Consider the following 18,220-nt stretch of genomic DNA (forward strand, 5'->3'; position numbering starts at 1 on the left):
ATTCGAAAATCTGAAATCCAAAATGCTCCAATGAGCATTTCCTTTGAATCTGGCCTTCGAACATCATGTCGGCACTCAAACAGTTTTGGATTTTGAAGCATTTCAGATTTTGGATTTTCGGATGAGGGATGCTGTATTATCTTCTGAATGAGGCCACTCATTCAGGAAAGCCCAGAGCTTGGGGACGTGGAGCTGCAGACCAAAGAGGTGATTTCTGTAGTGGCTTTCAGTGCGGAAGGGCCTACAAAGTGGTTTAAAGCAAGCCACAAAATAGGAAACCCAATATTTAGCTAATGGAACTCTGATAAAACCTGCTCAAGATGTCTGTCTCTACTAATTCAGATGGAGCCAAGCCAAAGCATCATTATTATTTTAAAAAGGCACCAATCCCTCTGCAAAAGCACTGAATTATATCATGATACAATCATCAATTGTACCATGAATCACCATCAGCGGTGGTCTTTTAGGGATATGAAGAAGGGGTTTTCACAATACATCGCATGACACACCATCTTCCAAATCTCTAAACATTTCTCTCCACAGCCCAGTCCTCTCCATAGTTGTCCAAATCCCTCCCTCTTTTCTCTTGTTGTCTCCAAAACTCAAAACCATGCTCTGACTTTCTATATCCTGCCCTCCCCTTCTTGGACCATCTGGGAAGCCCCCTGCTTCCCCAGGGTGTCCCCTCCTCCCCTTCTGGGATCAGTCATCTTTCCTCAAATGGACCAGTTCGGCCTCTCTTAGTTTCTCCAACTCTGCATCTCAACCTTTCTCCCTTCACTACACAATAATGTCCAGGAGGCAAAGAGCCCACAAACCTGGGAACCTCCCTTTCCAGAAGGGAGGTTCTGGAATGACTACAAATATTTGGTTATGATTTTCTTCCCTGCCACGCCTGTTTTCATGGGCAGTGCTGAGCCCCGGTCCTGGCAGAGCTCAGAACCAGGCTCTCATGAGCTGGGGCAAGTGGGGCCTAGGGAACCTCTGGGTTGAGGACCTTGCACCCCACTCTGCAGCTGCCCTGCTGATTTGGCTCATGCAACCTCTCCTCCTGGGCTCAAGTGATCCTTCTACATCGGTCTCCCAAGTAGCTGGGATTTGGGCTACCACGTTTGGCTAATTTTTGTATCTTTTAGTACAGATGGGGTTTCACCTGTAGCCCAGGCTGGTCTCGAACTCCTGGGCTCTAGTGATCTACCCTCCTCAGCCTCCCAAAGTGCTGGGATTACAGGTGTGAGCCACTGCGCCCGGCCTTGTGCCAGCTTTTAAATATCAACAAGGACAAATTAGAGAACAGTGGAAGAGGGTGAGCAGCATGATGAGGTGATACAGAAATAATTTCACATGAAGAACTGGGCATGCCTGGCTTTTTTTTTTTTTTAAGCTATTCTGGGTTGGATGCTGAGGCTCACACCTGTAAGCCTGTAATCCCAGCACTTTGGGAGGCCGAGGTGGGTGGATCACCTGAAGTCAGGAGTTTGAGACCAGCCTGGCCAACATGGTGAAACCCTGTCTCTACTAAAAATACAAAAAATTAGCTGGAATTGGTGGCATGTGCCTGTAATTCCAGCTACTCGGGCAGCTGAGGCAGGAGAATCGCTTGAACCTGGGAGGCGGAGGTTGCAGTGAGCTGATATCGTGCCATTGCACTCCAGCCTGGGCAACAAGAGTGAAACTCTGCCTCAAAAAAAAAAAAAAAAAAAAGAAAGAAAGAAAAGAAAATATATCTATGCACCAGAGCTCAACACTAGGTTAGGAGCATTTCTGAGATTTGGAGCTATTCAACCATGGAAGTTCCTGGCACATACATCAGGTATTCACAATACCCTTTCTCAGGTGTTTGGTCACTGCTAGTGAGCCTGCCTGGATCAGTGTTTCCCAAATGGCAGTCATTTGCATCTTTGCATTTTTTTGGGGGGGGGGGTTGTGGGGGTATATACCATACCAGATTTTTTAAAAATTGACATTAAAAATACATGTATAAAATGTGTAAAGTGCACTAATCTAAAGTGCACTGGATGTATTTTTTATTGATGTACATACTTTTGTTATCCATCACCCAGGTCAAAATACAGAATCAGCACCACAGAGGGTTCCCTCCTCCTCCTTCCCAGCCAATAATCTTCTCCTCCTACCTAACCAACTGTTCTTACTTCAATCACTGTCAACTAGTATTTTACATTCTTGAACTGCATATAAAGTGTCTCAAGTTTCACTTAACACTTTTCTTGAAATACACTTGTTTTTTGCCACTTTTTATTTGACCTAAGAAGTAACATTAATGAAACAATGATTTGACGTGATAGGCATTTCCCTCCTAATGAGCACTAAAACACTTAACTATTTGAAAAAAGAAGTTTCTCTGTGTACCAGCTAATATATTCTCCTCGGCCGCCGTTGGTACACGGACCACATTTTGTTTCTCAAAGCAATCCGATGATTTCTGAGGTCCTTTGCAGCTTGAACACGGAACGACTGTGGTGATCGAGTAGCCAAAAGTTCACGGAATGCACTGTCACAATTGTGATTCCGCCATAGCGCCGTGCATCCATCCAACACTTGTTTAATACCTATATTTAATACCTAATACCTTAGACTGTCCTAGGCTGTGGACACAGAAGACTAAACCCCACTTCCTGAGTTGAAGTGGGGGAAATAGAGGAGTAAATCATTTCACGATGTGTGGTTAAATGCTACAGCTCAGGTAACCACGAGCACACAGAGAAAGGGCAGTTTCTAGAAACAGGGCGGAGAGGAGACCGTGAGTGGGCATTTCCCAGAGCAGTCTCTGCCAGCCACCCTGCTGTGATCACTTTGCCACAGAGCAGCCCCGGCGGTCAACCTCAGCCTCCCTTAGCAACCTGAGCGCCCCGCCCAGGTGCCTTACTATTGGTCTCGTGGAGCGGGATGGGCAGCTCTGCCGTGCAATCCCAGCTCGCAGCCCTTGCTCCGCGTGTACTCACGGGAGGACTCGCAGACGTTACTGCCCTCTTGCGTGCCCCGGCCACCCCCGGGCGGCTTGTAGCCGGTGCGCGGGGTGGCTGGGGCTACGTGCAGAGCTGTCGCGGAGCCGGAACAGCAGCGGTGAAGCCCCTCGGCTCGGCCGAGACCGCCGTGCCCATTGCTCGCCTCGGTTGCCGCCGCTTTAGCCGCAGCCGCTGCTGCCGCCGCCGGGGGAGAGGCAGCCTATTGTCTTTCTCCGCGGCGAAGGTGAGGAGCTGTCTCGGCTCGGCCCGCGGGGGAGCCCCGGGAGCCGCACGGTGAGAGCGCAACTTAGTTGGCGGAGTTGGGGGAAGTTTTGTGATTTGAGGAGGGGTCGGGGTGCGGAGCGCGGCCCGTCCCCTGCGGCCGCTCGGTGGGGCGGGCCCCAGAGGAGGGTCGGGGGCTGCGCGGGGCTTCAGGGGCGGGCGGCACGGATGGGTAGCCGGGCGGCGCGGGGACCTCAGCTTTGCGGACCCCTCCTCCCTGCGCATCACCCTTCTCCCGCATTGTCTGCTTGGGGCTCGGCGCGCCTCCCACTCCGCAGCCCAACTTGGGGGCCGTCGCCGCTTTCCGGATGGGGGGCGCGCCCGGCGGCGGATGGCCCCGAACCCTTGCCCCGGGTCCCCGGGTTGGCGCCGCTGGGGCGGACTCACTCCTCCCCTGGGGCGGGCGGCCGCGGTGTGGAGTCCGCGCCGCGAACAAGTGCTGCGGGCGCGAGGGAGCGGTTCCCCGGGGCCGACGCGGACGGTAAACCTGTCCGGCGGCGCCCGCCTGCTGGGGCCTCTCCGCTGTTTCTCGCGGGCGCGGCCCGGCTGAAACTGCGACCGTCGGAGGCGAGCGGCCCTCTGGGACCCGTGCAGCCGGTCCACCTTGCAGCTATACTTTGAGACTAAACATTTTTTTTTTTTTTTTTTGCAAAGGCAAACCGGTATGTGAAGTTGAAAAAAGCAAAAACCCTCAAATTTTCCTTCTTTCTTCTTTTTTTTTTTTTTTTAAATCAAGAAAGGGGGTAGATAGGTTTGTTTTGTTTTGGAAATAGTTTTTATAGCAGAGTGATACCGTCACATTTAATGATCCTACTGTGAATTCAAGAATTCACGATGAAAGTTGGATTGAGCGGTATTTTGGTGTTCATTCTTTGCTGATACTCATTAATGAAGTTCGTTGGAGAATTTATTGCTTCAGTACAGTAAAAACCAGTGTGCCTTTTTTTTTGTTACTACTCCCCCCTCCCCGCATTGTTTTATTTTTCGAAGAAGCACTTTATTCAGTTTTTCTAAGCCACGGGATTGCCCAGATGAGGACCAACGGTGCAGTTCTTGAAAGGTCATTATTGGCAAGTTTGTGAGGGAGCTAAGATGAGTTGAGATAAACCAGTGTTACTGTTCTTGTATTCTGTCGTGGACTCTTGGGGATTTGCAGGCTGCATTAAGTACAAGTCTGGTCCAGTTTTGGGTGCACGTATTCCACTGAATTTGGTTCGTCTGGCTTATTATATGAACATGATTCTGTTTCACTTCCCCAGATGGAACTAGCTTAAATGTCTATCATTTATAGTGACAAATGATCAAAATGGCTAGAGTGTCATTTATTAACTTCAGTTGTAGTCCTTTACCTTACCTTCTGCTAAATGAAAAAGAAAAATTTGACAAATACTGTGTGCGTCAGTTTGCTCTGAGTGATTTCTCGTGCTAAGTGAGTCCTTTGGAGAAGCGTTCCTGGGCTTTTCTGGTTTGGTGGGCCTTGTGTTATAAAACCAATTTTCTTCACCTGATGAAGCTAAAGACAAATTTTCTTCAGGCACAGGCATTGCCCTTTTAAACTACAGAGCCACTTGTAGGATTCACAATACTCACTCAATGGCTTCCCTTCCTGGCAGTGTGGTTTTGTGTGTGTGTGTGATTGTGGGGAAGGAGGCTGACAGAGGTTGGAAGGGATTGTCAGGGAGGGACATCATGTAAGCAAGTACTAACAACATAACGTGACGAGGGCACCAGTTGCTTTCCTTCTGTGGGCGGTGATGGCATGTTATACTGTAGGTACTATTGTTGTAGGATTTCTCACAGTTCGTTTGCCTTGACTAAATGGTAACTGCACACATACTATACTATAAATGGACTCCTCCTCTAGTCCTTTAACTCCTTGAGGGCTGTGATAGACCTTATTTAACTTTGTACCCTCTTTGCCAGTGGTTTTAACATAGTGCAGGCACGGTATGTGTTTGAATTGGGTAAATTACTTTTACTGCCTAGTGGTAGCTGGTGTACACAGGAGAGGGCCACCAACTCTGGGGACTTGTCCAAAATGACAATTCACTTGCAGATCTCTGATGAAATTTACTTTAAAAGGACTTCTAACCTTTTTTTTAATCTGTCGGTTATTTTTTGAAAAGAAGTGGGGCTTAACTAGTGCTCTAAGGATTTTAACAAGAGATTCCGATTTAGAAATCTGTTCCCCCTTTTGGTGAAATTCTTATTTTTTTTAGAGTCAGAATCTTCACTGTTGCCCAGTTGTCTTCCTGGGACCCAAGCCGTCCTCCCACCTCAGCCTCCCACAGTACTGGAATTACAGGCGTGAGCCACCCCACCCAGCTGGTGAAATTATTAAAATTGTAGTGAAAACTCTGCCTCCATTGTGAAATTGGAAAAAAATTAGAAATTTTAGAAAAAAGTACGCCCTTTGGAGCTAGGTAGAGTTCAGATCCCCACATTTCCATTGAGTAGTTGCATAGCCTCTCAGAGCTTCAGCTTCCTACTCCTTAAGGGTTAGTAACATGCTTTGCAGTGTTGTTAGGAATCAGTGAAACTGTGTGAGATACTTAACTGCAGTATCTAACATGGAGTAGGTAGCTATTTCCTGGTAGCTGTAATGATAATAATTTTGATACGTTTTTACATGACTTAAGCATTCTGAAAAGTCTGATGCTTCTGAGTATGGAGGCTTAGCTATTTCTTTCATAAAGAAGGGGCCCTGAGACTTGTGAGTCTTATCCAAATGCGTTTCTTCAAAGGTGTCAGATGAACTGAAGGATAATGGAAACAATAGCAAATTTATCTTCTCAGTCACCTGTGAGTCTTCCTTTGAGAGTGGGACTTGCAGAGTACTTGGTAGGGTAGAGCTCTTTGTGACTATGCTATTTAGGAAATGGTGAGAGATGGATTGTTTTCAGTACATCAGTCATAAGAGGATATGAGTGAGTTCCAACTTTCCTTATTTTACCTTAGTCTTGACAAATAACAAGTATGGATTATGTCTGTATTTCTCAGACTTGTTTAAGGTAGAACTGGACTGGGTGTTAACAGTGTTAGTTCAGCAGAGACATGAGCAAATCACTCACTTCCCCTTCAAGATAACACTTTAAAGGTGCCACCATTTGCAGAAGAAAGCAGTGATTTAAAGCAGCTATACTAGCACAGTTTAGAATACTTACACTAGCTGATGGAGTAGATACATTCTAGAAATATTTACCTGTAGTGGGAGTTGAACAGTGAGAACACATGGACACAGGGAGTGGGGAACATCACACACTGGGGCCTGTTGGGGGTTGGGGGGCTAGGGGAGGGATAGCATTAGGAGAAATACCTAGTGTAGATGACGAGTTGATGGGTGCAGCAAACCACCATGGCACGTGTGTACCTATGCAACAAACCTGCACGTTCTGCACATATACCCCAGAACTTAAAGTATAATAATAAGAAAGAAAAATAAATATTTACCTGTTAAGGACATTTCTGTGTATTTTATTCCATCTTTCCAATAGTTTTCTTATGAAGAGATTATAGTTAACCTTTGAACTTAACAGATTGAGAGGGTAAACCTTTAAAAAATATATTTGGTCACACTTACAGACTGAGGGTAAAAACATTCCTGACAAAGCTAGGCGAAGACACTTGGACTTTTTTTTTTTTTTTGAGACGGAGTCTCGCTCTGTCACCCAGGCTGGAGTGCAGTAGCACGATCTTGGCTCACTGCAACCTCTGCTTCCCCGGTTGAAGCGAATCTTCTGCCTCTCCCGAGTAGCTGGGACTACAGGCACACGCCACCATGCCTGACTAATTTTTGTATTTTTAGTAGAGACGGGGTTTCACCATATTGACCAGGCTGGTCTTGAACTCCTGACCTCGTGATCCACCCACCTCAGCCTCCTAAAGTGCTGGGATTACAGGCATGAGCCACTGCACCCGGCTGAAACTTGGACTTTTGATGTTTCCTTCTTTTAAAGTTAACATCTAGCACTTGAATAGACTTGGTTATTACTGATGGGGACAGGCATCCATTTGGAAGTAGCTTCCCTCTCTCTCTCTTTCCCAGGTTAGGCTGTCTTATTGCTGTAAATGGGGAGAGAAGAGAAAGCCGTGGGTGGAAGAAAGTGTTTCATGGCCTGGTGCGGTGGCTCATGCCTGTAATCCCAGCACTTTGGGAGGCCGAGGCGGGTGGATCACTTGAGTTCAGGAGTTCAAGACCAGCCTGGCCAACATGGTGAAACCCCGTTTCTACTAAAAACAGAAAAATTAGCTGGGCATGGTGGCGGGCACCTGTAATCCCAGCTACTTGGGAGGCTGAGGCAGGAGAATCACTTGAACCCAGGAGATGGAGGTTGCAGTGAGCCGAGATTGCACCACTTCACTCCAGCCTGGTCGACAGAGCGAGACCTTGTCTCAAAAAAAAAAAAAAAAGTGTCCCACTCAGTTGCCCAGGCTGAAACGCAGTGGCAGGATCACTGCTCACTGCAGCCTTGAACCAAGCGATTATCCCACCTCAGCCTCCCAAGTAGCTGGGATCACATGCATGCACCGCCATGCCTGGCTAATTTTTTTATTTTTGTAGAGACAGGGTCTCTCTATGTTGCCCAGCCTGGTCTCAAACTCCCGGGATGAAGCAATCCTCCCACCATGGTCTCCCAAAGTGTAGGGCTTACAGGCGTGAGAGCCTGCTGGGGTTTTTGATTGACATTGCATTGAAACTGGAAATCAGTTAGGAGGCAACTGACATTTTAATAATGAGCCATGAACATGGTATATCTATTTATTTAGACCTTCTTAGATTTTTTGTCAGTGTTTTGTAGTTTTTAGCAGTTGGATCTTGCTTGTATTTTGTAATCTTACACATTTATTTCATGTTTGTGGTACTGTTGTGAATGATACTTCTCAATTTCCAGTTGGTGATTGCTAGTATATAGGAAGGTGATTTTATGTTATATGCTGACCTTGGATTCTACAACCTTGCTAAACTCATTTTTAGTACTAGAAGCTTTTTTGTAGATTTTTGGAATTTTGTGCATAGACAGTAATGTCACTGGCAAATAAGGGCAGTTTAATTTCTTTGTTTTCACTTTGTATGCTTTTATTTCCTTTTTTTTTTTTGAGACGGAGTTTCTCTCTTGTTGCCCAGTAAATTAGCCCATGTAAATATTTCTGTTTGTATCTCTTGAAAGTAAAGACTCTTTTAACCATGGATGAGTGTCTTGATCAAATCAACATGGCTTGTTCATGTCGATACCATTTGCTCAGAGGGGAAAGATTAAGGGAAAAATGGGGTTGGATTTGAAATGCCAGGACCTGTCTACTGGGTTTGTGATTTGTTATTCTCTAAAGTTGTAGCTCTTAAAACAAAGAAAGGAGTGAGTTTGGCCTATTCATTAACTTTTACTCTTTAGACAGTTCAAATGTTTATTGAGTTCTTCTACAGGGCGAGCCCTGCCTTCTTCATGCTTACCAAGAAGCATTTTTACGCGGTTTCTCTAATGTTTGGGTGAACGGTACCTCACTAAGTTGTTTTTCACGCACGTGCGTGCTCGTTCCTGAAGAGTCCTGTCCAGGTGCTCTGCCCGCTTTTCCTTTCAGGCTTCTGTATCAGCTGCCGTTTCCCTATAGAACGTGCCCTGACCTCCACCCCTTAACCCTAACCAATTTGCCTTTACATGTCTGACCATCCATCAAGGCTCTTTTGGGTCATATTCAGTCCATGTTGATATTTCCCCTTCCTCCCTTCTTTAGTCCTTACTATTTTTGCTTTGGTCATGTTTTCTTACACTGTATTCTGTAAGCCTGTTTAATTTTTTTATGGTGGCAGGGGAAAATATTTTATAATTATGCTTTGTGCTTTTTATCTTCCACTCAATAAATGCTTGGTAAATATTTGTTTTATTGAATGTATGAGCCTATTCTAGCTATATTGTGCTTGAACAAAAATCTTAACTGCCTTGTAAGTTAACTGCTAAGAATTTGTCAAAAGTGCAGAGATAACATCAAGAGCTTGTCATGGATAGTACAAAAAGGTCTCTAAGGGCTTGATGGAAGTCTGTAAATTGACTTCCTATGAAAGAGAGTGTAAGAAGTGAAAAAAAGCAAAACAGAGTAGATGTTTTACTCTGTTTGCCAAGGGATTTGTGCTATTTTTTTCCTGTTTTATAAATTTGTCCTAATCTTAAATAATGAAGGGAAAAGAGCACTCTTTTTCAACCAAGGAATCCTTTTTATACTTCTTTTCTGTGAAGCCATGTTATGAAAGATTGTTATACAAACTTAAGTATAGTTTTTCCATCTTCAGTAACAGACCTGATTGCCATCTAGTTACTGGTTCTGATCACACAAGAATGCAAAGCAGCTTGTTCTAATAACTTGTGCAGGCCTATTGGGAACTAGTATATGGCTTTGAGTCCTTTTGAAGTATTTAACATAATTTGGCAATTCCATTACGCCTTTTATGGACTTCTTGGCATCTATGAACTCTTGGTAGGGAATCACTGTTTTAGAATGAAAAATGTCTCCCAGGAAGTAAATTAGCCGGTAAACAAATGAAACTTCATTTTTTATATGACTTGTAGAGCATAAATTATTACTCTTTCTGCATAAGTGGCTGCTTTCTAGGCTGCTTTTAGCGAGATTGTTAGAAACAAATGATTGGTGCTGTGAGGAAGAAGCAGCACTCAGGCAAAAAAGTTTTCTCAGCAAGACAATTTGCTTCTGCAAGTATGCTGCTTGCATTAGTCATGATTGCAAGAGCACACCAAACGGGGTGGAGCAGGGGTTCTTATCCCTAATGCACTCCCTACCTCTGTGTCATTCCAACATGGGCTGGGGTAGGACTGCACAATCTTAGCTGACTCAGCTGGATATTGTGAATATTTTCTCTAATAAGAAAGGGAGGGGGAATGTGAGTTACAGATTGGGGCTGGTAGGAAGAGTTGTTTACAAGGCAGGTTACTAAGCAGGTAACTAAGCTGGTAAGTAGGGTCGAGAAGGTACAGGGAAATTGTTCTTAGGAACAGAGAACAAGGAAGTTGAACAAGTTAAACCTTTGAAGAGGAACTTACTGTACCTAACAATTCCCCCCTCTTAATTTTTGTAATTCTTCCTCTTCAAACTTTTTTAGCATGTCTTTGCTTTGCTGTTCTGCTTGGTTTTCTAGAAGGAAAAGCTTATCTGAATAGGGTGGAGGAGAGCTAAGAGAGGTTTTGGTAAGTTCTGTGTCTATGAGTCTTTGCAGTAGTCCACAAATGTATGGTATGATACAGCATCCAACAAGAATAAGCACACCTATAACGATTGCAAGAGAAGTAAATATTGAGGACATTAAGCCTTTCCATTTTCCAGACCATTTCTCCATTAAACTTGTAAAGGGATCATTTATTCCAGAATTGCTTGCTAACTCATTGGATAAGGAGGTTAGGTCCTGCAAAGCTTTTGTTACTGTTCCGTCAGGGGCTGTGTTATTAGGAATAAAAGTACATCATTGGACTCCAATCATGACACAGACACCACCTTTTTCTGCTAGCATCGTATCTAGGGCTATCCTGTTTTCCCAGACTATTTAGTTAATGGGACCTAATTGGGAGGCTGTTCCCTTAATGGCATGTCTTGTGTAGTTAACAAACCTTTGTTGGTTGTAATAAATGTAGTTTATCCGATCTACATTTTTATTTACAGTTGACCACCAAAACAGCACAGATTCAAATCCTGAAGCTGTTTGATTTCGGGCCTTAAATTTATCTGGTACCCCTCGTGGAACTCCAGTAGCATCTTTATAAACGTGGGAGTCAAAGGACCCATGAAGGTCACTTCTTCTCTTCTGATTTTCTCTTCTATTATGTTAATGGAATGCTAGGGTGAAAGGGATGGCCAGTTGGACTAGAGCACAAGTACCACTCCAGTTACTTGGCAGAGTGTCCAGTAAGGGTCCACCACAATACCACCATACGTATGCTCGAGGATGAACAAGGGCAGACTGACTGGTAAGCTCTTGGGAGAGTTTAAGTTCACCGCATCCCTTTAGGTCTTCATGAAATGCCAAGTTTTCCCCTTGTTGTGAGAGACCCGAGGTAAAAATTGGTGTCAATAGATGGAGGCTGGATGGCCCTCAGGGACTGACCTGCAGGGTGTTGGACTTTAGGGAATAGCAGAGAGAGAGCTTGGCAAGATTCATTACCCCAGGCTGTGGGGTCTTGGAGAAGAGCTACCATACAGCTCATGCCCAGTTGGCTGGAAGACCATCCGAGTGGAAAGGGGACAACCTGGGCCTCTGGCCTACTGTGCGCACAAGTGTAACAGTTGCTTTTGTTTAGAGTGCGGACAGAATATTTAATCCATTCTAACCAAGCATTTGCATCTTGGTACCCTGTCTCAGTTGCTATGGTTTGTTTCAAATTTTTAACTTCTACAATGGCTTACCTTGATTTTATCCTTGGTTGAAGGAAGAACAGCGGTTTCGTTGAGAGAGAGTGTAGAAGGAGGTGGAGGAGGTGAGAAAGTAATGAAATGCATTTCAAAGGATTCTATAAGATGTGTCCCTGCTATTTTGGCTCCTATGCCGTATAAGCGACTTAAAGTAGGTTTAGGGTTGGCAGAAGTGGGGATAAGAATAGAAATTTGCACTGGATTACATTGGTTATACTGGCAGTCAGGGGGTGGGGAATGTTTCCTTTAACAAAGCAAACATGGTTTTAGAGACTTACAACTGCCTGTTGACAAAGCCCTGATGTTCAGTTGTCCACATAATATCATTCCAGCTGTGGCAGGCCTGTTTCCCTACATTTCTTAAGGAACAAGAGTCGTAATGGGGGAGGCTTTTGTCTGAAAGGGACGGAGATACTTCTCTGAGGCTGAGAGTTGCTTTTGACTTTGGAGAGCTCCACAGGATATAACAAGGCAAGCATCAAAGGTAATAGTTTGGGGTGAGCTCGACCTAGTTACATTAATAACGAGAGGACTAGCAATAGAAGGGGAAAAGAAATATAGCATAAGAGGATCAAACCCGTTTTAGCTTTAACTTGGTTGGAATTGGCCCTGAAATAGCTGTCCATGATTCTGGAGTGGGTGGTGCTCTTTTGACTCAGGTATGGTGAGTCCATTCTTTTTCAGTGGTGTGGACGGCTGTCTCAGTCATTAGAAACACTAGATAATGTCCCTCCCAGGTGGGCTTGAGCTTCCTTTCTTTCTGACCTTTGATGAGAATGTGGTCACTGTCCGGGCTGGTGGTGGTGAACTGGAAATTCAAGGGGTGGTGTATGTGCCAAGAGGCCTTTAGTCCTAAGGAAAGAGAAAGTGGAGGATAGACCAAGTATATAGTTCTTGAGAAACAGATCTTTTGTTTCGAACGAGGAATGTCAGCAGTGGAGTGTAGATAAGGCAACTCATACAGCATTTCATAAGGAGGTGAGCCGACATCTTTCCTAGGGGCAGTTTGGAATCTTCACAAGACCATGGGGAGGCATTTAGTCCATGGCAACCGAGTCTCTAGGACTAATTTGGTTAGGTGGTTTTTCAGAGTCTGATTCATTCTTTCTACTCTTCCTGATGAAGGTGGGTGCCAGGGGTTATGGTAGTCCCATGTTATATCTAGTACTTGGGCTAGTTTCTTAAGAACATGTGCAGTGAAATGAGTCCTGTTGTCTGAATCAGCATTTTCTATTAATCCAAACCTGGGTATAATATTTTCAACTAATGCCTTGAGTACATTACTAGCAGTTGCACTTGAAAAGGGAATAGCTTCTACCCAATGAGTAAGGTGATCTATCACTAATAAATATTTTAAGTGACCAATTGGGGGCATTTCGGCATAATCAATTTGGACAATTTGGAACAGCCTTAATCCTGGATTTCTCCCTCCAACAGGTGGTTTTCTGAGGATCTGCTTATTAGTCTTCTTACATACTAGGCAACTATCTGTAACTTGTCTTGCCAAAATGTAAATTCCTATACATCTGTAGACCCCGAGGACTGCATCACACTTAGCTTGAGGTCCCTAATGAGTCCCTTGATGCAGATGAAAGAGGATTTCCCTCATGAGGGGTTTGGATAACATTTCTCTTTGGTCTGGTGACACCCATTTCCCTTCTGAATTTTCTTTGGCTCCTATTTTTATTAATTTTTCCTTTTCAGCGGGAGAAAAGATGGGGACTGCAGTCGAGGGAGGAAGGCAAGGGGCTAAGTGAAAAACAGGCATTTTCAGAGGAAACGGCAGTGTGTTTGGCTATTTGATCTGCTAGGTTATTCCTTCCGCTTTGAAAAGAAAGACCTTTCTGATGTCCTGGAACATGGACAATAGCTATTCTGGCAGCTGCAGGTTATCTAATACTTGGGTGATTAATTCTTTGTGGCCCAGGTCTTGGCCTTTGCTATTAATAAGATCTCGTTCAGTCCAAATTTTTCCAAAGGTGTGAGCTGCCCCAAAGGCATACTTGGAATCAGTATAAATAGTCCGTTCTTGGTTTTGCAAGTGCTTTAAGGCTTGATTTAATGCAAACAATTCATTCACATGTTTGGGCAGACCAATTATTTGGCAGGCTTCCTGACTCTACTTCTTCAAGTGCCTCCCCATCTACTACTGAGTACCTATTACGCCTTTTTCCTTCAATTACTTGGGAAGAGCCATCTATAAAGAAGCCCTGCCCCGTTTTGTAAGGGGTCTCTCTTAAATCAGGCCTAACTTTTGTATGATCATTAAATCTAAACACTCATGCTCAGGTCTCTTTAGATTTGAATCTCCAGTCAGGAAACCTCTGGGTTAAGTGAATTATCAGTGGTTAGTGTTAAATCATCTCTTTCTAACAGGATAGCTTCATACTTTAAAATTCTCAAGTCAGTAAGCCACCTTCCTGCCTTTTAATTTAAGATGGCTCTAACCTGATGGGGCATGTTTACAACTAACTTTCCCCCAAAGGTTAGTTTTCTGCTTTCTTTAGTTAACAAGGCGGTAGCTGCAATGGATTGAAACATTCAGGCCATCCACAGGTTACTGGATCTAAAACTTTTGATAGGAGATCCATGGGTTGCTGGTGACCTCCGTGTTCTTGGGTAAGGACCCCTAAAGCTACCCCCTTATTTATGTTAACAGAAAGGTGAAATGGCTTTTCTAGGGAAGGCAAAGCTAAAACAGAGGCAGTTATAAGCAGATGTTTTAGCTCCTCAACCTGGTGGAGTTCTTCAGAAGTCCAGAGGAGAGGGTCAGGCTTTTCTTGGGTGATTTTTAGGTAGAGAGGCTTTATGACAAGGGCATATGAGTCAATCCATAAGCGGCAATATCCGGCTATCCCTAGGAATTTTCTGAGTTCTTGTTTAGTCTTAGGCAAAGGTATGGATACAATCCCTTCAACCCTCTCAGGCCCTATCCTTCGTTTGCCGTTACTTATTAAGTGTCCTAGGTATTTAACTTCAGGCTCTATGAATTGAAGCTTTCTCTTTGAAACCCATAGCCCCTCTCCTTACAAATGGTTAAGGATATGGATGGAGAAAGCAGATACCTTTTCTATAGCCTAACCGGATATTAATAAGTCATCTACGTACTGGAGCAGACATATACATTTTGGGGTATAAACTTGTTCTAACACTTGTTCTAGAATTTGACCAAAGAGATTAGGGGAATCTGTGAAGCCCGGGGGTAGAGCTGTCTATCGATACTGTTGCTGTCATCCAGAATGGGGATCTTCCCATTCGAAAGCAAAAATGTCTCAGCTGTCCTCATCCAAGGAGCATGCTCAAAAGGCATCTTTTAAACCTATTACTGTAAACCATTGATGTTCATATGGAATTTTACTGAGAATGGTTTAAGGATTAGGGACAACAGGATGGGTAGTCTAGACTGTCTGGTTGATGGCCCAGAGGTCTTATGCTAGTCGACATGACCTATCTGGTTTCTTCACAGGCAGTATTGGGGTGTTATAAGGGGACATACAGGGTTCAAGGAGCCCATCCTTGATGAGGCTTTCAATTACAGGTTTCAGGCCTATTCTGCCTTCTAAAGGAATAGGATATTGCTTTCTTCTTACTATTTCTCCAGGGGTTTTTAACTTTATATGTATAGGGGGAATTTGGAGTTTTCCCCAATTTCCTTCCCTTGCCCAAACATCAGGATGAATGTATGTTTCTTCTGCAGTGGTGAGCAGGTTTAATGAAGTGTAGAATCCTTCTGAGCCAATACGTAAACCTATACCTAATTTTAACATTAAGTTTCTTCCTAATAGATTAGTTCCTGCCTCTGAAATTAACAAAAATTCAACATTAGCTGAGCAGTTTTTACATCTAATTTCTGTTTCTTTTAAAATTTTTAGTTTGATTCCCTCTCCTTTTACCCCTGAGACTACAAGCTCCTCTGAGGACCAGGTTATATTGTGGGGGAAGGTAACAAACAGAGGAGCAGGCTGCTCCTGAGTCTACTAAAAAGGTCATAAGCTCAGATTTGGGTTCCACTTCTAAATTTATCAAGGGCTCTTGGTGGGATTCAAGGTAAAAGAGACAGAGCCCCTAACCCCCCTATTCCTCCTCAAAGGTCGTAAGTGGGACGACTTCTCTTTCTGATTTTAATTTGGGACAATACCTCTTGAAGTGGCCTACTTTCTCACAATTGAAGCATTGATTCTGTCTCTTCTCTCTATTTTTGGGTTTCTCGGCTTTGCCTCCTTATGTTCTTTATATGGCTTAGGAAGTGGGGGCCTAGGATCTTTATAGGTTTTGGCTCTCGGGAGGCTTTGTTTGGGAGTGTGTGGGTCTCTGGGTAACAGAGAGTAATACTGGTGTGTTTTATCCTTTGGGGCCCCCTGTTGGAAGGTGGATAACATAATTTTCATTTTTTCTTTTTGCTTCTCCTCATCCCTCCTTACACACACTTTCTGAGCTTCTCTAAGAAGCTCGTTCGTGGGATGGTCCTTCCAATTTCCTATCTTTTGTAATTTCCTTGTGATATCTGGCTGTTAGTAACAAAATGAAGCTTTAACATTCACTGCCTAAGAGGATCTTCTAAATCTAGGCCAGCATATTTTCTCATTTGTTCTTTCAACCTGTCTAAAAGTTCGATAGGCCCTTCATCTTTCCTTTGTTGTATGTCGAATGCTCGAGTAAGATTTTGGGTTCGGAGTACTGACTCCCGAATCCCTTTTATTATCATTTCCCTAAGTTCTTGCGTATCCTCTTCAGTGGGCTGCGTTATTATTGTCCCAGCAGGGGTCTTGGTTGGGGAATTTTTGATCCGCTGCATGAATGTTTTGGCCAGGAGGGTGTTCATGTTCCCAGGCTACCATAGCAGCTCTACAGATGATGCTTCTTTCTTCCCCTGAGAAAAGGATGCCTAGGATGGACATTAACTCAGCCCAAGTATATATAACTGTGGTCCTAGAAATTGGTTAATTCGATCTGCTATTCCACTGGAGTTGTCTAATAGTGTGGCTTGAACTCTGTTTTTAGGTTTTGGACCTCCGAGCTGGTTAAAGGAGCATTTACAAAGTGAATACCTCCTCCTCGTAGGGACACCTCTCTTCAGGGGAAGAGAGGTGGAGCTAATTCTCCCGAGGTAGAGGGGAAGGGGAAGTTCTGAATATCCCTTTTACATTGCTCTATCTCACATTGAAGTCCTTTCAGGGAAGAGTACTTAGGGTGATAGTGAGCAGGCTGTTGGGACAATTCCCAAGAGGCAGGGTTATAAAGAGGGGGAACAATGTGGGTAGGAGAAGGGTCTGGGACAACTGCCTCTGCTTGAGGGGGAGGGAGGTTAGGGGTATTGGACGGGGGAAGGTGGTGGAGGAAGTTCCATGTGTTGGTGAGCTGTCTAGGAACAGGGACCTTATCTTTCTCAGAGGAGTTAATTTCTGACTTGCTTTTCAGGATTGATTCCTGAGTCCAAATGAAACAACAATATTTTATCATTTGCTGCTTTTTCTTGTATTTAGTCCTTTCACTCTCTTTCCAATATTTTAGCATAAGCCCTAGGGGACTATCAGGAGGAATGTTATTGTTGCTAGCTTTATCCTTTTTCTCCCCTGCATTACTTGAGGTATTTCCCATCTTGAAAAGGGATTGGGGTGAGGCTCAATTTCCCCTACTAGAAATTTCTTCCCAGTTACGAGAGGTTTGTATAAGGCTCAACCTCTCCTACTGGAGATTTCTCACCTTTCCTTTCCTTTCCTTTCCTTTCCTTTCCTAGAGGCTCAACCCCCCTGCTGGAGGTTTCTTGCACTTTTCTCCTTTCGCTTCATCCTTCTCTGGCTGCTTCCCTCACGGGAACGTTGGTTTCCTCTTAGCAATGGCTGTTTCAGTAGAAACCCCTGACCCAGACTCCTTTACAGAAGGGCTACCTTAAGCTGTATAAGGTGACCACAGAACTGCAGATCTGGACTGAACACTTGCTTTGCACTCAATTGTGAGTCTCAACACACACTTTCAATCTCCAAGATATCCCAACCACCAAGAAAATACTTTGTCGCTCTTGTGATGTTTCTTACGTTGGTCTGTGCACATAGTTACCTGGTCACCATGGTATGTGAGGATCCTTTTCTCTTAAGTTGTTGGTCTGTTCCTTTCCAGACTGCTGAGAGTCCGGGTTTATTCATCACACTGGGTGGGTCCTGATCCCTCACCATGAGGCCACCTCAATGAGGCAGTGGGATGCTTCTCCTCACTATTGGTGACTGGAGACCCTTTTCTCAGAGGAGAATGGGAATTCCGGACGAGCCCCCAGATTGTTAGAAACAAATGATCAGGCTGGGCGCAGTGGCTCGCCCCTGTAATCCCAGCACTTTGGGAGGCCGAGGTGGGCGGATCATGAAGTCAGGAGATCGAGACCATCCTGGCTAACATGGTGAAATGCCGTCTCTACTAAAAAAAAAAAAATACAAAAAAATTAGCTGGGCGCAGTGGTGGGTGCCTGTAGTCCCAGCTACTCAGGAGGCTGAGGCAGGAGAATGGCGTGAACCTGGGAGGTGGAGCTTGCAGTGAGCTGAGATCAAGCCACTGTGCTCCACCCTGGGCAA

General features: G+C 44.4%; 1 long non-coding RNA gene and 1 pseudogene across 2 annotated transcripts in view; one reads left to right on the forward strand and one right to left on the reverse strand.

Annotated features, from left to right (window-relative positions):
- The first annotated feature begins 2,975 nt into the window (after positions 1–2,975).
- LOC102724135 (uncharacterized) overlaps positions 2,976–18,220 on the forward strand; it is a 30,800-nt pseudogene continuing 15,555 nt past the window's right edge. The window contains exon 1 of the transcript NR_158192.1: positions 2,976–3,260. The product of NR_158192.1 is annotated as an uncharacterized LOC102724135 (transcript). The remainder of the gene's footprint in view (positions 3,261–18,220) is intronic.
- On the reverse strand, positions 12,224–18,020 carry LOC105370946 (uncharacterized). Its single transcript, XR_932551.2, has 2 exons — positions 17,715–18,020; positions 12,224–12,509 (listed from the first exon to the last, which is right to left on the reverse strand). It is a non-coding gene; the product is annotated as an uncharacterized LOC105370946 (long non-coding RNA).

This window comes from Homo sapiens, chromosome 15 (genome assembly GCF_000001405.40).
Source record: "Homo sapiens chromosome 15, GRCh38.p14 Primary Assembly".
Classification (NCBI taxonomy): Eukaryota; Metazoa; Chordata; class Mammalia; order Primates; family Hominidae; genus Homo; species Homo sapiens.